We start from the raw sequence: 26,359 nt of genomic DNA, 5'->3' as shown, positions 1-26,359 counted from the left end.
GCTGGTATTACAGGCGTGAGCCACCACGCCCGGCCTTGTTTGTTTTTAATGATACTGACTTTTGAGGAGATTAGGCCAGGTATTTCCCAGAATGCCTACATTCTGCATTTGTCTGTCTCTCTGTTTATTGTGTCATTTAACAATACATATTCCTTTATCCCTTGCATTTCCTGTAAACTTCTTAACTGTAAACTGTAAACTTCTTAACATTAGAGTACCCAATGCTTGGCCCTTTTCTCTTTTCCATCTATATATTCACTCCCTTGGTTTTTTTCAAGGAGTTTCATAGCGTTAAATACCATCTACCTGGTGACAACTCCCAAATATTTAGCTCTGTGGCCTGTCTCCTGACTCTAGGCTTATATATCCAACTGTCTACTCAGTATCTCCACTTGAATATCTTGAAGTTATCCCAATCTTAAAATGATAAACAAATTCAGTAAAGCTGCAATCAAACCAGCATGGGACTGGCATAAAAACAGACACATAGACCAATGGAACAGAATAAAGAATGCCAAAATAAATCCATACATCTACAGTGAACTCATTTTCAAAAAAGGTGCCAAGACATACACTAGGGAAAGCACAGTCTCTTCAATAAATAGTGCTGGGAATACTAGATATCCATATGCGAAAGAATGAAACTAGAACCCTATCTCTTGACATATACAAAAAACAAACCAAAATTGATTGAAGAATTCAATCTAAGACCTCAAATTATGAAACCACCACAAGAAAACATTGGAGAAACTCTCCAGGACATTGGTATGGGCAAAGGTTTCTTAAGTAATACTCCACAAGCACAGGCAACCAAAGCAAATGGACAATGGGATCACATCAAGTTAAAAAGCTTCTGCATAGCAAAGGAAACAATCAACAAAGTGAGGAGACAAACCCATAGAATGAGAGAAAATATTTGCAAACTACTCATCTCACAAAGGATTAATAGGCAGAATATATAAGGAGCTTAAACAACTCTATAGGAAAAAATCTAATAATCCAATTAAAACACGGACAGAAGATCTCAACAGACATTTCTCAAAAGAAGGCATACAAAGAGCAACGAGGTATATGCAAAGCTGCTCAACATCACTAATCATCAGACTTAGGCAAATCAAAACTGCAATGAGGTATCATCTCACCCCACTTAAAATGGCTTTTATCCAAAAGACAGGCAACAATGAATGCTGGCAAGGAAACCCTCATACCCTGCTGGTGGGAATGTAAATTAGTACAACCATTATGAAGAACAGTTTGGAGGTTTCCCCAAAACTAAAAGTAGAACTACCATATGATCCAGCAATCCCACTCCTAGGCATATACCCAAATGAAAGAAAATCAGGATACTGAAGACATATCTGCACTCTCATGTTTTTGTAACACTATTCCCAATAGCCAAAATTTAGAAGGAACTTAAGTGTCCATCAACAGAGGAATGGATAAATAATAGGTGGTACTTATCCACAATAGAGTACTATTGAGCCATACAAAAGAATGAGATCCTCTCATTTGCAACATCATGGATGGAATTGGAGGACATTAAGTGAAATAAGCCAGACACACAAAGACAAACTTCACATGTTCTCAGTTATCTGTGGGATCTAAAAATTAAAACAATTGAACTCATGGAGATAAGAGACTAGAATGATGGTTACCAGAGGCTGGGAAGGGCAGTGGCAGGGAGAGGCGGAAGTGGGGATTGTTAATGAGTACAAGAAAATAGAACGAATAAGATATATATTTGATAACACAACTGGGTGACTATAGTCAATAATAATTTAATTGTACATTTAAAAATAACTAAAACAGGATAACTGGATTGTTTGTAATGCAAACGATAAATGCTTGAGGTGATGGATACCCCATTTACCCTGATGTGATTATTATGCACTGTATGCCTATATCAAAATATCTCACATACCCTATAAATATACAAACCTATTATGTACCCACAAAAAGTAACAAAACAGAAGTATTTCAGCAGCAAGGTGTGAGTGAAGTAGGTAAGAAAAATAGTTTTTTGTTTTTTTTTTTGAGACAGGGTCTCACTCTATTGTCCAGGCTGGAGTGCAGTGGAGCAATCTCAGCTCACTGCAACCCCCACCTCCCTGGTTCAAGCAATTCCTGTGCCTCAGCCTCCCAAGTAGCTGGGTTTACAGGCATGTGCCACCACACCTGGCTAATTTTTGTATTTTTAGTAGAAAGGGGGTTTTGCCATGTTGCCCAGGCTGGTCTCAAACTTCTGGGCTCAAGTGATCTCCCCTCCATGGCCTCTCAAAGTGCTGGGATTACAGACATGAGCCACCACACCCGGCCGAAAATAGTAATTTTTAAATGACCATATAAAACTTCTGCAACATTTATACCATATACTCAAGCATCCCTTAACAGTCACTTAATGTTTTGTCTTTCAGAAAAAAGAACTTTTGGCTAGGCGCGGTGGCTCACACCTGTAATCCTAGCACTTTTGGAGGCCGAGATGGGTGGATCATTTGAGGTCAGGAGTTCAAGACCAACCTGGCCAATATGGTGAAACCCCATCTCTACTAAAAATACAAAAAAATATTAGCCAGGCATGGTGGCACGCACCTGGAATCCCAGCTACTCAGGAGGCTGAGGCAGGAGAATTGCTTGAACCCATGAGGCGGAGGTTGCAGTGAGCTAAGATCGCACCACTGCACTCCAGCCTGGGCAACAGAGCAAGGTTCTGTTTCAAAAAAAAAAAAAGAAAAAGAAAAAAGAACTTTTTAAATGATTACCTCAAAGTTCAGAAGAAATCCTTATAGACATTTTTAACAATTGCCATAATTCTTTTATACAGCTTCTAGTTTATTACCATGACTACATTCTTGGCTGTGATCCCCACATTTCAAATTTCTGAAAATATCTCATATGAAATGACAAATGTACTAGATGGTGAAGTTCTGAAACCTCTTTCCAAGCATCAGTATCATCTGACCCAGCAGACTAGTTTCCTTTAATATTAAATTAACATACAAACCTACACATCCACTATCTTGTTTCTGTTCAACAAAGCAGGTGATTTTCAAGGTATTTGTATACAGATGCTCTAATCCTACACTATACATGGGAAAAAAGTTATCTTTGTTCTGTGAATCCTTTTCCCCCTCCACAAACATCCCCCAGTCCCTAATTTATATAACATAATAAACAATGTCAATACAGTCTAACAATTAAGAATGTAGTTTTGGAGTCCAGCTTGAAAGTGAATCCCAACTCTCCCACAATCTAGCTGTAGATTGCCATGGGCAAGTTTCATGTACACAAATTCCCTAAGCTTGACAGAGGTTATTATGAGGATTAACTGAAATCCATGGGAATCACTCAGCTTACTACAGCACACTAGATAAATTCTCACTAAACATTAGCTATTGTTATTGCAATATCTTAAAGAGAACTCTAGAATAACCATTAAACCTTCACAGTCTATTTATGTACTATGTCTCATCCAGTCTTTAATCTTTCTTCATCTTAATATAAATGAAAGCTCCGTGGCCGAGCACGGTGGCTCACACCTGTAATCCCAGCACTTTGGGAGGCTGAGGCGGGCAGATCACTAGGTCAAGAGTTTGAGACCAGCCTGGCCCATATGATGAAACCCCATCTCTACTAAAAATACAAAAATTAGCCAGGCGTGGTCACGGGTGCTTGTAGTCCCAGCAACTTGGGAGGCTGAGGCAGGAGAATTGCTTGAACCAGGGAGGCAGAGGTTGCAGTGAGCCGAGATCACGCCACTGCACTCCAGCCTGGGCAACACAGTGAGACTCCGTCTCAAAAAAATAAATAAATAAATAAATAAATAAAAGCTCTTACCTTTTTATACTTCTCCAGTATGACAGTTAAGTGTGAATTCTGTGTCAAAGCTATCTGAAATCCTTTTTTCTTTTTTTTTTTTTGAGATAGAGTTTCGCTCTTGTTGCCCAGGCTGGAGTGCAATGGCACAATCTCAGCTTACTGCAACCCCCACCTCCCAGGTTCAAGCGTTTCTCCTGTCTCAGCCTCCCAAGTAGCTGGGATTATAGGCATGCACCACCATGCCCAGCTAATTTTGTATTTTTAGTAGAGAAGGGGTTTCTCCGTGTTGGTCTGGCTGGTCTCGAACTCGCGACCTCACCTGCCTCGGCCTCCCAAAGTGTTGGGATTACAGGCATGAGCTACCGCGCCCGGCCTGAAATACTACTCTTATTAGCTATGTGATCTTGGAGCACGTTACTTCCCCTCTCTCTATGCTTCACTGGTAAAATGGGCATAATATACCACACACCAGATAACAATTATGTAAACGGAATGAAATGATAAATATAAATAATAATATAATAAATATATGTTTAGAACCATTTTCCCATCTAGTAATAGCAATTTATTATTATTATTACTATTATTATTACCCTATGCAAACTTCTTCAAAGTGGTATCCAATGGTAACTGTACCTGCCTCTAATACTGTACAATTCCTCAATCTTCTCTCTTCCCCCCTCAAGCTTTTCCAGATTGATCAGAAGAGCTGCAAGTAACTCCTAACTCCACTCTCTCTGGACTTAGAACTCACATAAGAACTTTCAGTTCTGTCCAGCCTGATTATACATTCTTTGTTTTATGTTTACATATCATCTTCAAAAAAGAAAAGAAAAAAGGAAAAGACACATTCCTCAATTTGTATATCACACTAACACAACTATTTACGAAGATGCCAAGTATTAAATAGATCTTCATTAGTCTTTCTTAGCAGTGTTTTTTTACTATACATTTTAAGTGTATAGAAAATGGATGTTCCAAACTACACAGCACCTGCACAGGACCAACACATAGGGCCTACCACTATTGAAATCAACTAAAACTGGGCCTACTGAACTATAAATGTATTTATTAGCTAAGAATATAAAATCTATCTAGCTTCCAATAATTCATTGTCACATAGGAAATTTTATAAACTATACATTTCTGGACAACTTTACAACACTGGAAGTGACAAACACAGCTCCTGACTAAATCTGTAGCATTTACTTATATATTCGTATTCATATATATACATACATACACACACACACACATATAAGTGAACAAACACAATTTAAAGTTTTACTTACTCAAATTCTGTAGCATAATATTTAAGAAAGCCCAGTAAGAGGTCCCCAAGGTTTGATTCATTCTTTGAGAGGTAAGGAGGAACATTACATGGAGCTTGATGTACAAGGTGCAGCTGTATAGCAGGACTAAAAGACTCCTGTCAAAAAGAAGAAGGGGAAAAAATGTAAAGCCATTTAAAACACACACTAAGAAACTTTATAAATCCTGAACTAGGCTCCTCTTTGAAAAAGAGAGAAGAAATTTACTCTATTTGGCAATTTGGAAACCTGAAATTTTTCTTCCACTAAAGACTTCACCAGTATTTGCAGTAGACCAGAATGTACCTGAAAAACTAACATTCTAATCCTTGGCTTGAGTATATCACTCAGTTAACCAAACAGATCGCTATTTAGCAGAAGATTTTCTAACTCATAAATAAAACCTTACTATACAAACCAAGATCTACCCAATACCATATAGATTTCTTCACAAAGGTTATCTCATTCTTAATTATTCCTACAAGGAGCAGTTATACTTCATGTATAAAGGCTATATCAAGCACAAAGTAAGAGTTTTTTCTGTCACTTCAAACTTCTCCCAAAGGCCGTAAGAGTAACTTTAATATAGAAATAGTACTTATACTAATTTTAAGATTTTATAAATTTTGCTTTCTTTTGTTTCTGTATCTTAGATGGAAAAGAAGAGAGATGTTCAACCTGAATTAAGCTTGAAAAGACAAAGAAGGCAGGGAAAATGAGACAGGAAACATACCAACAAGCAATATTCAGCAAGCTTTTACCATAATATTTATAAAAGAGGATATTATTTGCCTGAAATCCAGGAACAAAGACGCCTATTAGAAAGAATACTAACGGGTACTTATTCTGTTTTCCTATGTTATCCCATTCATTTTCATATCCATTTTTCCTCTATTAACAGCAAGTTCTGGCTCTCGAATATACTAAATGTACTATCAAAATTATTAAGTCATTTATATACATCAATTAGAAAATAATGCAAGGTAATTTGCACAGTGCCATCAAGGATGGTTTTCTGTATTTCTCCACTGCCGTCAGAATAGAAATGGATTTTTTTTTTTCGTTAAAAAAAAAAAAAAGCAATTAGTTAAGGCAGCAGAATGACAACTACGGTTAAGATTCCAAACCCCTCAATCCTGGGCTTATAGATACTAATGTAATTAAAGACATCTAAATAATGCCAAGTTAAAAAATGGAGACTCTCTAAATAATGGTAGTAGAGAAATTGCATAGTGCATCATTTAATGCTAGTGCCCCCAAAATATGAATAAAAACAAAGGAGCAAGAAAACAAAAATATCTCCTCCCTTGTTCCATTACCTATAATTCTATCAATAATTGTTAACTACTATGAAGTGATTACCTTTCTCTCAGAATAAAAATTCTATTCCAACCAAATTCATAAAGTTGATACTCCTCAACATGGGACTTTCCCCTTACATTTCTAACAGCTGTAGTATTAATTACATTTTAAGATTCAAGTAGAAATTTTAATGTCTAAAAGTGGAGGGGGTAGGAAAGAAACCTCAATTAGTAAAGACTAAAGGCAGAAGGAAGAATAGATGCAGTGCCTCTATTCCCCTTTAACTCTTACTTGTTAGGTATAAAATTGAACTTAGGGTGACAATATTTAAAATTATAAAATTTAAATGTTATTTTCTGGCAAATCAAACAAAAGGTATAATGTAGATCAAATAAGTAGGTCACTGTTTAATAGCTCCCGCTCTGAAAGCTTCTTACTAATTTTGATTCCTAGCACCAAGCACAATTAGCATTCAATTTATGAACTGAATATGCTAAAACAGAAGTCACTTTCTTATCTGAAGTCTAAAAATGATTGTACTTCCTTTAAAATCTTTATTTTGTTCAGTAATTTAAAGAAAAAGGTCAGCAATTATGACATTAAGAACTGAAGAGTCGTGAGATCCACTCCATTAAAATGCTGAATGACCTGAGACCGACAATTTGGCCAGTCTTCTCTTAGCTTCACTGTTCTTTTTCACGGTCACACACAAAGAGTCAGGTCATGCTTATTGAGGGAGAACTGAAGCAGAAATCCAAACCAAAACTGAAAAAATGAGGACACCTAAAGGCAGCTACCAGTAAACAGTAATTCTATCTATCCTTAAGAAATCCCCTAAGCCAGGCATGGTGGCTCAAGCTTGTAATCCCAGCACTTTGGGAGGCCAAGGCAGAAGGATCAATCTTTGGACAATTAAGCACTTTCTGAAGTAAGTTAGACTGGCTAATCTTCTATATGGAAACTGTTTTTCAAAATCTTAAGTGAAAGATGATCACTTTCCATCTCCAGGCAAACAGAAAGAAATTTAGGTTATTATCAAATAAAACACATTAATTTCATAGCAATATGAATTATGAAATCCTTGAGCCCAGGAGTTTGAGACCAGCTTAGGCAACTTACTGAGACCCTATCTCTAAAAAAAATAGAAAGATTAGCTGGGCATGGTGATGCCTATCTCTAAAAAAAATAGAAAGATTAGCTGGGCATGGTGATGACTGCTGTCGTTCCAGGTACTCAGGAGGCTGAGGTGAGAGAAGCAGCTGAGCCCAGGAGGGCTCATCATTGCACCACTGCACTCCAGCTTGAGCAAGACCTTATCGCAAAAAAAAAAAAAGAAAGAAAAGACATCCCCAGTTTTTAATGATCATTCACATTACAGAAAGATTCTTTGCTTTAAAATTTCAACAAATAATTTCTTTAAGGCCTGACACAGTGGCTCATGCCTGTAATCCCAGCACTTCAGGAGGCCGAGGCGAGCGGTTCCCTCGAGGTCAGGAGTTCGAGACCAGCCTGGCCAACACGGTGAAACCCCGTCTCTACTAAAAATACAAAAATTAGCTGGACATGGTGGCGGGCGCCTGTAATCCCAGCTACTCAGGAGGCTGAGGCAAGACAATCGCTTGAATCCGGGAGGTGGAGGTTGCAGTAAGCCGAATCCACGCCACTGCACTCCATCCCAGCCTGGGTAACAGAGCAAAACTCCGTCTCATTAAAAAAAAAAGAAAGAAAAAAAAAAAGAATTTCTTTAAAAGGGTGCTTCCCCACTTTAGTTATGTATTTAAGAAAAATACATGCTACTTCAGATAGGACAAGGGGGTTCAGAACTTAAACTAATATTTTAGAAAGTACATAAAGAACAACCAAAAAGTCAAAGAGAAAAAAAGCAGCCTTAAAATTACAAAGTCAGTCCACAGAATAGCAATTAAACTGATAACATCCACCTCTTTAATAAATAAATTTTTGGGTTACAAATTTTTACTGTTGCTTGTGTGCCTATATAGAGGGAAGATTATATTTTTTAGGTTGGTATCTTATTCTGGGCTTCTGATAATCAAATGTATAACCTGTTAACTCCTGAAAACATTTTCCAAATGATTTTTAAATGTTGATCCTTTAGAAGACACGTAATCTTTCATTTCTCTTCAAGTTAAAAAAAATTAAATAGAAAATCCCTTGGAAAACATCTGAGAACTCTCACCACTTCTGCTCATAGAACTGTCTATAATAATGGCAAAAATACCTTTTGCCAGATTCCATCATTTTTTTCTGAGACTGTCCCATGATATCTTACGTTACCTTCAAAGTCTGAAATGTGGACAATTAAGCGCTTTCTGGAATAAGTTAGAATGGCTAACCTTCTATTTGAAAACCGTTCTTTAAATGATGAAAGGCTTAAGTCAAAGATGATCACTTTCCATCTCCAGGTAAACAGAAATTTACGTTATTAAAAGAGATTAAGCATAATTTCCTAATGATATGAATTATGAGATCCTAGAAATGTATGTTAAAGAAGGTTACAAGGAAAAGAAAAACTGATAGGGAATACTTCTGCCTGAAAAGAAAAAGAACTAAGTGATACCTTGAAGTTTCTGCAAAGATATCTGAATTGCACGCAGGTAGGTCATCATTAATCTGGTGATGTATGTTAAAGATTCACCATAAAATTTCCTTTAATTATATCTGACTTTAGTAGATTTTACAAGTTGTGAGATCAAGGTAAGTATATAACATAAAGTAGAGGTACTATAATGAAGTGACTAAGAGCATTAGCTTTGAAGTCAGACTGAAGTGTGAAGCATCACCCTTCTATTAGCTGCAGGCATTTAATCAAGTTACTTAGCGTTCCTCAGCTTCATCATTTATAATACAAGGAAAGGAAAAATACTCAGATGGTTGTAAGGATTTATTAACTGTTTAGTATATGCCACATATCATTATTATTGCACATTTATACAATACAGTGTGGTTACCTCCTGAAAATTTTCATGTATTATTTCCAAATTAATTTTTCTACGTTTTCAAAATTCAGGTAGTGCCAACTTTAAAACAATGTTTTATAACCATTAAAAAAAATATCTCCACCAAAATTTGTTAACCTCTTTTTTTTTTTTTTTTGAGACAGAGTGAGACTCTGTCACCCAGGCTGGAGTGCAGTGACGTGATCTCAGCTTACTGCAACCTCCGCCTCCTGGGTTCAAGCAATTCGCCTGCCTCAGCCTCCGGAGTAGCTGGGACTACAGGCGCGTGCCTCCACACTCGGCTAATTTTTGTATTTTTAGTAGAGACGGGGTTTGACCATGTTGGCCAGGATGATCTCGATCTCATTACCTTGTGATCCACCCGCCTCGGCCTCCCAAAGTGCTGGGATTACAGGCATGAGCCACCACGGCTGGCTAAATCTTTTCAAAAGTATTCATTTATAGCCTGTTTCAGGTAATTGATGGATCCCTTCCTTACATTAGGTCAATTTTTAAAATGAAAAAGTTGCTATATATATGTGTGTACAGTTGTCCCTTGGTATTCCTAGGCAACTGGTTCCAGGGCTCCAGGGGATGCTAAAGTCCCTTATATGAAATGGTGAAGTATTTGCATATAACCTATGTACACCTTCTCATATACTTTAAATCATCTCTAGATTACTTACAATACCTAATACAACATAAACTCCATCTAAATAGTTGTTATATTTTTTATTTGTATTACTTTTATTGTTGTATTTTTATTTTTCCTGAATATTTTTGATGTGTAGTCGGTTGAATCTATGGATGCATAACCCACATACAGAGCGCCCACTGTATATATACAGGCACACCTCGTTTTGTTGCACTTCACTTTACTGTACTTCGAAGATACTGCAGTTTTTACAAATTGAAGGTTTATGGCAACGGTGCATCTAGCAAGTCTATCAGCAGTGCCATTTTTCCAGCAGCGTGTGCGCACTTCAGGTCTCTGTGTTCCACTCTGGTAATTCTCATATTTCAAACTTTTTCATTATTATTGTATCTTATGGTGATCTGTGATCAGTAATATTTGATGTTACTACTGTAATTGTTTTGGAGTGCCACAAATGGTATCCACATAATACTGCAAACTTAATCAAAAATGTTATGTGTATTCCAATTGCTCCACTGACTGGCAGGCAATTCCCCCATCTCTCTCCCCTTCCTTGGGTCTCCCTATTTATTCTCTGAGATGCAACAATACTGAAATTAGGCCAATTAACAACTCTACAATGGCCGACCAAGTGAAAGGAAAAGTCACACATCTCTCACTTTAAATGAAAAGCAAGAAATGACTAAGCTTAGTGAAGAAGTCATGTTGAAAACCAATACAAGCCAAAAGTTAGGTCTCTTGCACCAAAGACAGCCAGGCTGCGAATGCAAAGGAAAAGTTCTTGAAGGATATTAAAAGTACTACTCCAGTGAACGCATCAATGATAAAAAAGCAAAACAGCCTTATTGCTGATATGGAAAGTTTCACTGGTCTGGATAGATCAAACAAGCCAAAATACTTCTTTAAGCCAAAACCTAACCAGAGCAAGACTCTCTCTTCAATTCTATGAAGGATGACAGAGGTGAGGAAGCTGCAGAAGAAAAGTTGGAAGGTAGCAGAGGCTGGTTATGAGGTTTAAGGAAAGAAGCTATTTACGTAACATAAAATTACAAAGTGAACAGCAAGTGAAGAAGCTATAGCAAGTTATCCAGAAGTTATCTCGCTAAATTAACATGGCTACACTGAACAACAGATGAATGCAGCTACACTAAATAGCAGATTTTTCAGTGTAAATGAAACAGGCTTCTATTCGAAGATGCTATCTAGAACCTTCACAGCTACAGAAGAGACATCAATACCTGGCTTCAAGGTTTCAAAGGACAAGCTGACTCTTGTTAGGGGCTAATGCAGCTGGTGACTTCAAGTTGAAGCCAATGCTTATATACCATTCCAAAATCCCAGGGCCCTTAAGAATTATGCTAAATTTACTCCGCCAGTGCTCTATAAATGGAAAAACAAAGCCTTGATGACAACACATCTCTTTACAGCACGGTACACTGAATATTTTAAGCCCACTGTTGAGACCTACTACTACTGCTCATTGACAATGCACCTACTCATCAAAGAGCTCTGATGGAGATGTACAAAGAGATTAATGTTTTCATGCCTGCTAACACAACATCCATTCTACAGCCCACGGATCAAGGAGTAATTTTCATTTTCAAGTATTATTATTTAAGACATACATTTCACAAGGCTATAACTGCCACAGATAGTGATTCCACTAATGAATCTGGACAAAGTACATTGAAAGCTTTCTGGAAAGGAGTCATCATTCTAGATACCGTTAAGAACATTCATGATTCATGGGAGGTCAAAATATCAACATGAACAGAAGTTTAAAAGAAGTTAATGCCAACACTTTTGGATGACTTTGAGAGGTTCAAGACTTCAGTGGAGGAAGTAACTGCAGATGTGGTGGAAACAGCAAGATAATTAGAATTAGCAGTGGAACCTGAAGATGTGACTGAACTGCTGCAATTTCATGATAAAACTTTAACAGATGAAGTTCTGCTTCTTATGGATGAGCAAAGAAAAGTAGTTTCTTGAGACAGAATCTACTCCTGGTGAAGATGCTGTGAATCTTGTTGAAATGACAACAAAATACCAGTACTGCTTGGAACAACCATGTAACTTTTCTAAGACTTAGTTTTTTCATTAGTGAAAGAGGGATAATATTTCTAAGTGTATAAACAAAGGATTTAGAACATTACATAAACTTAGCTGGTAAAGCAGTGGCAGAGTTTGAGCGGACTGACTTCAATTTTAAAGGACGTTCTACTGTACGTAAAATGCTAGCAAAGATCATCATACACTATAGAGAAATCTTTTTGAAGAAGAATCAATCAATGTGGCAAACTTTACCGTTGTCTTATTTTCAGAAACTGCCACAGCCACCCCAACCTTCAGCAACCACCACTCTGATCAGTCAGGAGCCGTCAGTATCAAAGCAAGACTCTCCACAACTGGTGCTGAAGGCTCAGCTGATTGTTAGCATTTTGTAGCAATAAAGCATTTTTAAACAAAGGTATGTACATTTTTTAGACATAATGCTATTGCACACTTAAGAGACTACATGATAGTGTAAGTGTAACTTTTATATGCACTGGGAAACCAAAAAATTCATGTGACTCACTTTATTGTGGTGGCCTGGAACCAAACCTGCAACACCTCAAACGTATGCCTGCACAGGCTACACACCTGTACAGCATGTTATTATACTGAATACTGTAGGCAACTGTAACACAATGATAAGTATGTGTGGATCTAAACATATCTAAAAATAGAAAAGGTACACTAAAAACATGGTATAAAAGATAAAAAACAGTATACCCTTACCATGAGTGGGGCTTGCAGAAGTGGTAGTTGCTGGGTGAGTCAATGAGTGAGTAGTGAGTGAATGTGAAGGCCTAGAACATTACTATACGCTACTGTAGACTTTATAAATACTGTACACTTAGGCTACCTTAAGTTTATTTTAAAATTTTTCTTTCTTCAATAATAAATTAACCTTAGCTTACTTTATTTTAAAAACTTTTTAACTTTTAGGCTGTTTTGTAACAACACAGCTTAAAATACAAACACATTGCACAACGATACCAATATTTTCTTTCTTTATATCCTTATTCTATAAGATTTTCTCTATTTTAAATTTTTTTTTTCCTTTTAAACTTTTTTGTTAAAAACAAAGGCACAAACATACACATCAGCTTAGGCCCACACAGTATCGGGATCATCACTATCACTGTCTTCCACCTCCACATCATGTCCCACTGGAAGATCTTTGGGGACAATATCATGCATGGAGCTGTCATTTCATATAACAATGTCTTCTTCTGGAATACCTCTTGAAGGACCTATCAGGCCATTTTATAGTTAGCTTGTTTTTTAAATAAGCATAAAGAGTACACTCACAAATAATGATAAAAAGTATAGTACAGCAAAAACCAAGTGACAGGAATATTTCAGCTCTATCACCATCTTATGAGACCACTATCATGTATGTGGTCTGTCATTAACCAAAACATCATTATGCAGCACATTACTGTATATGTATATATGTATAATTTAAGGTGTTTTTTAACATTTAACTACACAGAAGAGCTATAGAATTCTTTATTTCATAACTATTAAAAAGAAGAGGGTTATTTTCTTGCAACTGTATTAACATAAATGTTTCCTAGAGTACAAAGATACTTTTAGCGAAGGAAACAAATAGCTAAAAAACACAAGTTGTATTGATAAATCTACCTAGCATAAATTTAAGTTAACCCTCATAGTAATATGCTTGCATTAAAATAAAGATTCCTTCATAAGCTCAATCTGTTTATATATTTAACTTTCTCAGCTTCATTTATTCAACTGAATAACGTACCCCTCCATCAGCTACGTTAAGTCAATAAGAATTTAGTAATAAGCAGTAATTCTATACTATAATACAGTTTTTAGAGACAATGATGTTTATAGCCTTTTATCCCTTTCATATCACAACTGAACTGAAATATACCAATTTTAAAAATATTTAAAATGTTATAAATTTTGAAAATATGAAAATGACTAAAAAGCATAGTATACTGAACAAATTTATTCCATTCCAAAACTGTTTTCTCTTATTTTAAAAATAAACCCTATTTTGTATTAGAGAAGCTAGAAATTTAAAAGAACTCCGCGGTTTCCTTTGTAAAGTAACAAAGTTGTTTTTTCGTTGTTGTTAACTTATCTTAAACTTATTTATACAAGCTGAAATTCTGCCGTAACTGCTGCCCTTAAAGGTATATCTGTATATGAACAATCAGATGTATACAAATAAAATGTAATAAGCAACAGAAATTAGATAAAATGTTAGTGAATACTACTGTAATTTTGCCTTCCCCCAAGAAAGAGTATAATGGAAAAATTGTTAGTACCACTTGTATCAATCATGTAACATTTCTAAAACAGTTTCTTCATTAGTGAAAGAGGAATAATACCTTGCAAGTTTATTTGTTCAGGATTTTTTAAATTGTGTATAAAATGTACAGTATGCTGACATATATAATGGATACTAAATAAACGATGGCTATTATATATATATATATATATATATATATATATATATATACATTTTTTTTTTTTTTTTTTTTTTTGAGACAGAGTCTCGCTCTGTCGCCGAGGCTGGAGTACAGTGGCGCAATCTGGGCTCACTGCAACCTCCGCCTCCCAGGTTCAAGCAATTCTCCTCCTCACCCTCCTGAGTAGCTGGGATTACAGGCACCTGCCACCATGCCCAGCTAATTTTTGTATTTTTAGTAGAGACGGGGTTTCACTATCTTGGCCAGGCTGGTCTTTAACTCCTGACCTCGTGATCCACCCACCTTAGCCTCCCAAAGTGCTGGGATTACAGGCGTGAGCCACCACGCCCGGATGGTTATTATTAATAATAGCAAACAAGCTGACTTGTTTGTTCCATCAGACGGACCATTAAAAATGTGTTCTGCTGACCAGCCTACAGGTTTCATATAAAACAAAAAATCTTGTGTGAGAACAGGTAGTAAGTCCCTATCCATGTAAACAAAAATCTTATAGTAAAGGTAAATTAATTAAATATTTATGATGGCAATGTAACCATATGTAAATGCAAATTAGGAGATTCCTAATCTCGCAGGTCTTGCTATTAGTATTTTTTAAGGCCTTGGGGCTAAATCTATTTCCCCATTACAGGTATAGAAATAAGCTTACAAGCAAAACAGATGGAAAGCATAGGGCCAGAGGTAGTGGATATGAACAGAAGTCAGGACTCTGTCATGGGAGAAAGCTAATAAGAAAAACAGAACACAGAAGTGAAAATGGGGCCGTCAGTAAGAATCTGAGTATTATGAAAGCATTCCCTCTGACCCCAACCACAGTACACTGATATTTCGCCAGTCTCCTATATTAGTAAAAAGAGCTTCATGTAGCATAGGGTTTTAAGTGAGACTGCTGCAGAAGCATTTTTCAATACACAATATTATTTTGGGATAAGTTTATTAGCTCCTTTGCTAAAGAACATATGCAACTCTTTCTACACTGACACCTGTGTCTTAAAGCAAGATGAGGTTGGGTCAATAAAATGAAATATGACCTTTCAGTACAAACAAGAGAGTCAATACTTTATGGAGAGAGAAAAACATTCAAAATTAAGGCCAACAGGCTGGGTGTAGTGGCTCATGCCTGTAATCCCAGAACTTTGGGAGGCCAAGGTAGAAGGCTCGCTTGAGGCCAGGCATTTGAGACCAAACTGGGCATCACAGCAAGACCGTCTCTAAGAAAAAAAAAAAAAAGAATAAATAAAAAGATTCAAAAGAATAAGGCCAAAAAGTTCAAGTTACCTCTATTTCTGTTCTTTCTTTCATTTTTCATAATGTTTAAGAGACCATAAAGACTGATCCTTAGCTATACTGGAAACTCATTATAATAATTCTTCATAATAGCAGAAACTAGTTTAAAAAAAGGAAGATGAGATAGCAAGATTCTAAAAGGCTCTTGTTATACAGTCTCTCCTAGCAGATGACCTTCCACAGAATGTGAGATCTCCACCACAGCAGGGCTGTATTAAAATGAACGTTTATTATCCAGCACCTTGCATGTGTGCATTACAATAATAACTTATGTTCAAAACCAAGAACATTGGTTCTTCTCAATTATCAGATATTAAACTATATTTAACTGATGTTCCATGTCAAGTAAATTTGTTATATTTTGTGTGACACAATAAATAAGTTTTTTGAAAATTAATCATCTAAGCTGGTGATATTTCTCTTTGAAATATGACCATTTAGTAAGTTTAGAAGACAGCTCTTCTTATAAGTATATGAAACCAATATGTAAAAATTACGTGGTTTCAGAAGAGTAGTCAAACATTCTAAACAAGTAGCTTAAATATTATTTCCAAATAAATGCAGGAAAAAGAATGACTATGGAGGAAAACACTAATGATATAAAACAAAGAAACAGAGAATTCTGGAGAAAGAATACATGAAAACTGAAAAAGAAACACAAGGATTCTTATAGATTATGAATACATACATAACCTATGTGTCTCTAAACTCAAACTAAGTACATATTAAATTTTTTCTAGTGGCCACACTTCATTTCTTGAATGTTTCCAATTAATGTCAGCAGGATTCATAGTATTATGCAGACAAGAACCATGTACTAATATTACCTGTTGTGGTGTATTACTTAGCAAGATCAAATTAAAGATAGAAAGATTATCCAATTGTCCAACTTCTTTCCCCCTGCTTTTCAAAGTATAAATATACTGGGCCAAAAAATTTCTGAGTTACTAACTAAAGAAATGCTGTGAAGCTATATTTTAAAATAGTAGGAAGAAAACTGGAATAAGGCCAAATGGGCAACTGAGTATATTTAATCTCCATTAGTGATAATCTTGAGCATCATGCAAAACAAATTCCACCATTAACACAACTGACCAGACTGTCTGCCAATAACAAAATAACAAGTAAGAGAGTTTTCTGAAACAGTATATGAAACATTTTAAATGTTCTCTTGGTATATATAGAAAATGTTATCATGTACTTAGCCTTACTACTTTTATAATCACATTAATACTACTTATAATAGTTCTACATACACTTGACATAAAATGTATTATAATAATTTATAAGAAACACTTACTGGGTAAATTTTTTGGAGGGATGGAAGGATGGGTTCAGGTAGGGCTATAAAAAGAAAAAGTTTAAAGCTTCCGTGATTCACGTGACTCATTTTACAATGCAATAATTTGTCAGCTACATCCCAGGTATAAGACCATAAGGGTTTATGCTAAAATTCAACAATTTTCAAATATTTCATGAAATTAATTCTTATCCCTAAGTTTGTATTTAAAATATATTTAAGTTGACAAACTAAGGTTTTATTAATAAACTACATATATCCCTATGTAAATCAATGTTCCTCACATGGTTTTAGAATAATAGGCTATCAATAAAGGGACATACATAATTTGTCCAACATCAGACATACACACACAATAAGCAAGACAAGGATTGCTCTACAGATACTGAATAGACATTATTAAGATGGATGTAGCAATCAAAAACTACAATTTTAAAAATACAGTTCAATGACACTAGGAGATAAAAATAGTTCTTTCATAATTGTCCCTTTATTATTTAATTTCCACTAACAATACCAAAATTGAAATCGTTCAGGAAAACTGATATACTGCAAATAACAACAAAAAAAATCAAATAAAAATGAAAGAAAAATCTTTAACCTCATTAGTACATTTTTAAAGAATGCTCAGCAAAAGTCAGAAAACTAAGGGCACAATCTGCTATTAATAAAATTTCATACAAAGAAATTATATCCTCATGTTATCACCATATTTGTGTCATCCTTCACCAATCGTTTTAAACAAATCCAATCTCATTAATTAACAGTAATTTTACATTGTTTTAATATGAAAAGAACAATATAAAAAGGTAAAGTGCCTAACATTCACAATATAAGAAATAACTGTAAAATATAATGTCATGAGTATGGTAAAATACAAGTAATACATTTTCAAATTTAAGAATTAGGAAGGATTTAAGAATTAGGAATACACTATGTATAACAACTACATAAACTCAATAACAAAGCATATTAATTCACTTTTAATGTATGATTTAGCAAAAACTTTAAAAAATGACTTCTGAAATCTATTAATGTAAATGTAATGAACCATTATGACCAACTTACACGGTCTCCAACTATAATTAAAAGGGTATAAATTTTTACCACGCAGTACAAAGTAGGATGCTTTATTTAAATTTCCTTTATGTATCACATTTCATCCCCATGTTGAAAACTGGCATAAAATAAAATTCCATGGTATGTGTGCATGTTCTCAGTACATGACTGAGAATATTAGTAAAAAAAAAAAAAACTCAATCATTACTTACCAGAATCACTCTTAGAAAGTAAGGATATATATATTCCTTTCCCCTAAGAGGCATTCAAATACTCAACATTCTAGAAGACCTGCCAAGTAAACTCAAACCCCACTCACTTTAATTCTAAATGTCTCTCTATTTGTATAAGACTTTTTAATAGCTTTCTAGTAATTTTGGTTATAATACAGAAGTCAAATTGGAAAATCTTACAATAAATTAGCTTACTTAAAAACTTGAATACCTTTCCCATTCAATACTCTAGTATACTAAAAATATAATAAAACAAAGGATGAAGAGAAGATTATAGAGAATTAGAATAAAAAACCTTTATCTCATTCTGGTACCATAACTAGAATGCTAGGAGACAAAAACAAATACTAGCCACTGGTTGAGGATCTTTCAATGGACAAAAAAGCTTTTAGAACTCAGTAATTTGGAAATTTTTGGAGGCAGGGTTATCATTAAGTAAATTCTTTATGTTACAACTTTAAAAGATTTATAAACACTAGTCATCAGAGAAGCAATTAGTGTACTGCAGAAGTTATTTATTAACAATATCCTGATATTAGTCTCAATGAGTTTAGTAGTTTTTAAAATGTTTATCTTACTTCAAGCAATGTAAATTCTGGAAAAATCTGACTATAACAACTATTTTAACTTCAGAATTCTGGACTACAGGTTCAGTCTTTTAAATTTCTCTCTCAAAGGCAAAGTAAAAACAAAACAAAAGCTCATTATCAGAATACATGATTAATAGGTAATGCCTTGAATACAGCTAATCTACAAAATTTTACTTTGCCCATAGTTTCCATAACAGCTTGCTGGTAGAGACCCCACAAATTTATACCCATAAACTTTCCATATAGATGTACCAAAAATTTAAATTTTAAATAGCAGGTCTTCAATCACACTAAGAATCATTAATTTTGAAAGCGCAAGAACAACTTTATTTACTTATTTATTAATTTTTTTTTTTGAGACAGGGTCTCGCTCTGTCACCCAGGCTGGAGTACAGTGGCACGATTTGGGCTCACTGCAGCCTCCACCTCCCGAATTCAAGTGATTCTCATGCCTCAGCCACCCCACTAGCTGGGATGACAAGTGTGCACCACCACATCCAGCTAGTTTTTTGTATTTTAGTAGAGACAGGGTTTCGCCACGTTGGCCAGGCTCTGCAAAGACAATTTTAAAATGTCTACCAGAAAGCTCTGTATGCCTAGGAATATGGTAAACATTCCATGAATATTCATTAATGTTATTATTTCTAGCCAATTGATGATCTTACCTTTTTCATTACTTTTTTTTTTTGAGACAGAGTTTCGCTCTTGTTGCCCAGGCTGGAGTGCAATGGCACAATCTAGGCTCACTGCAACCTCCGCCTCCTGGTTTCAAGTGATTCTACTGCCTCAGCCTCCCAAGTAGCTGGGATTACAGCCGTGCACTACCACGCCCAGCTAATTTTGTATTTTTAGTAGAGACGGGGTTTCACCATGTTGGTCAGGCTAGTCTCGAATTCCTGACCTCAAGTGATCCACCCGCCTCAGCCTCCCAAACTGCTGGGATTACAGGCGTGAGCCACCGTGCCCGGCCTCCTTTTTCATTAACTCTTAAATTATAATTAAAATCCTTTCTCAATTCCCCCTCATGCTTTGATGAGTCATCTTTCAAGTATCTGTAGTCAATTATTGACTACTGGAATTTATTCTAGGAAATGTGTTAATCTTTTTAACCTTTTCTACATACAGAGGACCTATTTCCTTTCTCTGCTTATGGCAGAAAAGATATTAAAGCATTTAAGAAGTTAAACAAAACGTAAAGGTCATTTAATCCAACTGTTTGTGTTACAGGTGAGATTAAGGCCAGTGAGGTACAATAACTTCACCAAAGTCACAAAAACTAGTTTTTTGTGGCAGAGCTGTAACTACTCAATACACCTTGCAGACTCTTGTTTGCCCTTTTCCCTCACAGTAATGTGATACTGCCAAGAAAAGCAACTATTTTAATCATCTCATTTCTTCTAGGGAGGAGTAGCTTAAATTTGCCAGTATAGAGATACACATTAGCTCTGGGTAGCTAATGTCCTTCAAGAAAGACCTAGGAATGGCTGAATGCAGTGCCATTAATTATAAACCACTTCAGTAAATGGGACTACTCTGTCAAAAATAAAATGTTTGGCAAAGTCTAAACTAAATTTTAATATGATTTGATCAGACTGGCAAAATAGCAATGTTTAATTTTTTTGTTTTGTTAAGACACAGTCACTCTGCTGGTCAGGCTGAAATGCAGTGGCATAATCATAGCTTACTGCAACCTCAAACTCCTGGGCTCAAACAATCCTCCCACCTTAGCCTCCTGAGTAGCTAGGACTAACGATATGTGCCACCATGCCCAACTAATTTTTTTCATTTTTTATTTTTGTAGATGGAGGAGTCTCACTATATTGCTCAGGCTGGTCTCAAACTCCTGGCCTCAAGCAATCCTCCCACCTCTGCCTCCCAAAGCACTTGGGATTACAGGCATGAGCCACTGTGCCTGGCCCTAATTTAAAATTTTTAATTTGCTTTCAATACCACATTGGGGCATCTGTGATTTACGTACATTTTTCTAAAGAAGTCAGTCAAACTTAAAATTTCTAAGGTAACCAGTAAGAATTAAGGAGTAGGGCACATATTATGGATGATCATGTATGCTAAATGCTTTAGTCAAATCTCATTTTTAAATCACAACTAAAATATAAATAGGGAATGGTGGTGCCACATATTTTTTATATTTTATATATATAAGAAATCCTATTCCATTTTTAATGAAAGTAAACTGTAACCCACAAGAGAACAGAGTTCACTGAAAAAAATATGTTAAGAGTTCACCTGAACATATATTATAAAGTAACATATATTATAAAGTAATATATGTTCAAGATTGACATATATTTTGTAAAATTGGACAAAAATGATTAATGACACAAAGTATTATCTAAAACAGCCAATGTCATATGTTTCAAATTTTTTTAGAGGGGCAAATCAATCATCAAACCAGTATATATTCAAGACTGGTCAGCAATAAAAATACATGTATTAAGATTAGCCTGAACTACTTTAACATTAAAGAAGATTATCAAACCTCTCTAATGACTGATTCATAAAATGATGGCCCATTTAAACTATTTTGTCTCTCTCGATAAGTCAAAAAAATCATTTGAGACCAGCATCCAAAGGAAAATATACTCTCATATATTATAAAACATCTGCAAGTATAGTGAAGTACAGAGAACTTTGCTAAACTGTCCACAAATAACCCTGATACAATTTTGGCACCTACCTTTTCAGTATTTGTATATATACAAATATATATACACAGTTATTATCTTTAAATAAAATTGGTATTATGATGTATGAGAATATATCATGAACATTTTCTTGTATCATTAAATATATTAAAAACATGATTGTTGGTGGCTATGTAGATCTCATATTAGGGTATATCGTAATTAATTTAACCATTCCCCTATTCTAGAAAATTTAAGAGTACTTCTAATCTTCTATTATTTACGTAACACCATAAAAAAATAGCTTTACATGTACATCCATATATGTACCACTCATTATTACGTTAGGATAAATTTCTAGAAATGAAATAACTGAGTCAAAGGACATGAACACAAATATACAACACTGCTTTCTAAAAGAGTTGTACCAAATCAACACTCTCAGCATGATTGTGTATTCCATTTTGTCATTATTAAAAACTGCCAATTTAAGAATATTAATCCCTACATCTGTAATACATGTTCAAGTGAAATTCTGTAAGTAACAGGACAGAGTATAAGATTATATTCTGTCAAGAATGTAGAATGCCAATTTCACCCTAGGAGTATACCATAAAACTTTGATTACCAAGAACGGACAAGGTTGACACACTATGAAATTAAGAACATTAACATAAACACTTTAGTCAAATAATGGCACCCTATCTCCAGACAAAGATGGGATGAAGATGTGTCTAAAGGTAGAATCAAGATTTTCTTGAGAACTAGCTAGCTCTAAGACTACTTCAATTAAGATAAATATGAAAAAATGCTCCCCAAATTCTCCACCATAGAGGAAAGGTTACTAAGCTGTCATAAACAAAAAAAATCAAAATGTGTGTGTGTGTGCCAAAAGTGGAAAGGGTGTAACAATCAGACTGTTTTGTGATGGTCTGTCCATTATTCTGAGATTATATCATTGCTTTTTTGGTATTTTATGCACCATCTTTTATGAAGTGATGGTAGTAATTGGTAGCAGTTTTTTGGTTCTAATACTTAACATAGCAAAATAAAAACTCCAGTTTGGTTCTTTTTTTTTTGGATATTACTTTCCTTGAAATCTAAAAGTCTGAGAATCATGTAATGAACAGGTAAAAGAAAATGTAAGAACATTATTTAAGAAGACCATGTTTTTGTAGAGGAAAAAAGAACATCCACCCTTTACAGTTATTTATTTGTCCCCAACTTTTGGAATTAAAAGACCTGAACTTGACATTTATGTATTTATATTTGGCTAAACATCTTGAAACCTTTGCAAAAAAAACAAAAGCCAGAAAAAATAAAACAAATATTAACAATAACAATTTTTGGGTGTGAAAATTCATGGGAAATGTATTTTTTTTCTGTCCACTTTAGTATATTCTCAGGATTTTCTATGAAATGTATACACAACTTATTCAAAATGAATTTTAAAATGTAAAATAACTTTTAATATCACTACGTTTTAAGTATTATTTTAAACATAATAATTCTGAAACAAAATAGAGAATTCCTGACAACCAATCTCACCTCTGAACTGCTCTTTTTTAAGGCATTGGTAAGACAATCTTTGTTTTTGTCCCAACCACTTCTATCTATCCTCCTATACTAGTAAAAGTGACTCACTATAAAGAAATTCTCAATTTGGGTATCATCCTCCAATCCCTATCCAAAGAAGCCCAGTCTACCAGGAATTAGGTTAACAAAATTGTAATCCCCAACCCTAACCATTTTTGATCTATAGCATAAGGAAAGGTGCCTTCTTCTTTTCCCAGTTCCCAGTATCCTCAGTACAGAAACACAGCTATAAGGGCATCAAATCATCTCAACTTTCCAAGCCCAAGCTGCTGTTGACAAAATTGCTAATATTATCTGTTATCCCTCTCAGAATCTAAATACAAGGAGCACCAAACAATGCAATAAAAGGATATTTTTCAATACTTTTTTTTAATGACTACACTGTAATAATTATTATTGAGCATATCACATGTTGATAGTGCTCTATCAGCAGCTCAATTCACAACCGTGGTAAAAATGTCACATTTTATTAGTAATCTGTGAGTTGTTTAATAATTCACGTTTTGGTAGGTAACAGCTATGAAAATGTGACATTTTACAAGTCAAAAATGTAAGCTTCATGAAGAAGGTAATTGTTTTTGTATGTTGTTCACTGCTGTATTCTCAGATCCTAGAATACCTAGCATTTATTTGGTAGGTATTCTATACATATTCATAGAATGAAGAAATGAGTATTATATATGCTAAAATATGTTTTCTCCTATTATTGTAATCTTTGGAAACCAAGACTCTAAACTGTGGAAGTATCACCAACCCAGAACAGATCAAGCCCCAGACATCCTGGCAAACGGTCTTCTACTACATTCATACCAAGTCTTTCACTCGGTCTTCATGTCACCACATATTCATATGTTCAGTTGGTTAGTTATTAAACATCTCAGTCTCCTGGTCTAATAACTACAAAACAGTAGATGCATCCATCTTTTAACAACTCTTGGTGTCAGGCTAAGTAGAAAGTATAAAGCAGCTTAATGTTTATTTCTTGGATTGCTACATATGTAAGATATTTTTGAGAAATATGAAAGTAAGGGTTTCAAATAGATCCAGTCAGTCTGTCCTATACGTCTAGGAAATTTTCAGTACCGTAAAAATTCTCACACTTATGAATGGTCCAAATTACAAGTGTTCACTTATTACTGTTTGCCACTATGCATGCGACAAAAGTATAGCTTTTACCAGAATGGCCTCATAAACAATGACTAACCAGACAAAATTAAAATTTGGGAGCCAATCTGATAAAACAGCCCTATGAAGATAAAATCTAGTTAAGGAGGGCAACTCAGAGATTAAAAGCTTCTTTAACCAACAGGAAAATAATTTAATTCCTGTCTCAAATTCAAAATTAAAAATATGATGAATAGTACTTGAGCTAACTTTTATAGGCCTTTTGAACATTCGTCTGCTTCAAGATAATGGGTCCACAATACAGTGGTGAAAGTTCTTTGAAAACAAAAGTGACTATAGAAAAACTTCCAAAAAATAAAAAAAAAAACAGTGAAACTTCTATATTTTCCAAGGAATAACACTTCTGAAACATTTGTCCAAAGCAACAAAACAGGAAATGTGTTTCATGGACCTTAGAAAGAACTTTTAAAACAATACTATTTGAAAATAGGGTCAACAGAGAAGACACCATAATAAAGCTGTCTTTTACTTTTAAAAATTGGGTAAAACCCCATTATACTTACTTTGTAAATAGTGCAAAACCATCAATACAAGACTATAGCTGCTTAAAGTACCACGACTGGCATCATTTATCTGATGGTGACTTGCCCACTTCTTAATCACCAGCACTAACGGACGAACTCGATTTTCAACTGAAAGTAAAATTAAAACTTAACATGGTAAGAGACGTTATAGTTTCTTTGAAAGTTTACATCATTTCCCAGCTCCATACCAAAACAAAGAACACTGTCTCCGTGTATATTAAACACTGTGTCTGTTCACTTTGTGTCTTATGTCTAAAACTTACCTTAGTTACCTTTTAAAAATTATCAATTATTAAAATGCCACTTGATTCACCTATAACTGACAGTATATGATTTTAGTGTAGCAACATATACAAATAAAATAAGATACACTATACTTAAACACAACTAAAGAGATGTCACTATTTATGCCAAACATCTTTAAAAATGAATAAAGAAAAAAAGGCTAATTTTTAATAAACAAACAACAAACTTACGGTATGCATAAGTTCTGAGAAGGAATGTGTTTCTTATTCCAACAATATTGTTTACATTCAAGTCAAACTCCACACAACTATTTAAGAAAAAATAAATAAATAAATAAACTTTAGCTGAAGAACAAAAAAACTTCCTTCCTAATAACTAAATTAATGCTCATCCATCCCATGATGCAAAATAGTATGGGCCCAAAGGCCATAGATCTGTGTTTTTAAAATGACACACTAAAGAAATAAGAATGAACAAATACTCAGTATGTTATTTCAATGTGATCTGATGAGTACTGAAAATATAAAATAAGATTCCAGTGGAAAGATCAGTAACATACTGCTAAGGCTCCAATTACCCCAAATAAAATTTTTAAATCTTTTTTTTTTTCTTTAAAGAGATGGAGTCTCGCTCTGTGGCCTAGGCTGGAGTGCAGTAGCACAGTCATAGCTTACTCCAGCCTCAAGCTCCTGGGCTCAAGCAATTCCCCCACCTCAGCCTCCCAAATCACCAGTATTATAGGTAGGAACCACCATATCCAGCCGAAAATTTTTAAATCTCACAAGTTTCCAGATAAACAAAACTATGTGACCAAAAACATTTCTGAGCAAGTTATCCCATTAAGTTATACACTCTCAAATAATCTGGAATTATAGCATCATATACTTTAAAACAACAGGAATAAAAAGCCAAATTAAATACAGGGGAAATAATTTAAAAGCTCTGTCTACACATTATATTTCCTCTAAAAAGGCTAGTAAATTACAGTATCATGTCAAATTTGGCTATTGATACCTGGGAAGAGCTATCTATACTACTCAAACACATAATGATTACTTCTTTGAAAGCAAATATATGCAGTTCATAATTTAGAAAATACGGCAATAATGATGCAATGTATAAAAAATGGCTAAACTCATAAAAAAT

General features: G+C 34.7%; 1 protein-coding gene across 82 annotated transcripts in view, besides 1 other annotated feature; it reads right to left on the bottom strand.

The window, feature by feature from the left end:
• The window catches only part of TENT2 (terminal nucleotidyltransferase 2), a 75,806-nt gene that overhangs the window by 14,110 nt on the left and 35,337 nt on the right, over positions 1–26,359 (bottom strand). For 70 of the 82 annotated variants that reach the window (XM_011543221.4, XM_047416850.1, NM_001388126.1 and 67 more), the window contains 4 exons: positions 25,444–25,520; positions 24,947–25,075; positions 17,136–17,179; positions 5,109–5,245 (listed from right to left, as the gene is read on the bottom strand). In XM_011543221.4, coding sequence (XP_011541523.1) covers positions 5,109–5,245; positions 17,136–17,179; positions 24,947–25,075; positions 25,444–25,520 — 387 coding nt within the window. Of the gene's footprint in view, positions 1–5,108; positions 5,246–17,135; positions 17,180–24,946; positions 25,076–25,443; positions 25,521–26,359 lie in introns of those variants that run through there. The other 12 variants (XM_047416857.1, XM_047416856.1, XM_047416859.1 and 9 more) reach the window with 3 other exon arrangements.
• Positions 1,212–1,785: an enhancer, noted in NCBI's record as "NANOG hESC enhancer chr5:78968175-78968748 (GRCh37/hg19 assembly coordinates)". NCBI's record gives its function as "activates a minimal SCP1, AML or CMV promoter by ChIP-STARR-seq in naive H9 embryonic stem cells {active_cell/tissue: H9 hESC(naive)}" and the evidence as "EXISTENCE:reporter gene assay evidence [ECO:0000049][PMID:30033119]".

This window comes from Homo sapiens, chromosome 5 (genome assembly GCF_000001405.40).
Source record: "Homo sapiens chromosome 5, GRCh38.p14 Primary Assembly".
In the NCBI taxonomy this organism is placed as follows: Eukaryota; Metazoa; Chordata; class Mammalia; order Primates; family Hominidae; genus Homo; species Homo sapiens.
The sequence above is the reverse complement of the archived record's forward strand: the minus strand, read 5'-3'. Positions and strand labels throughout refer to the sequence as shown.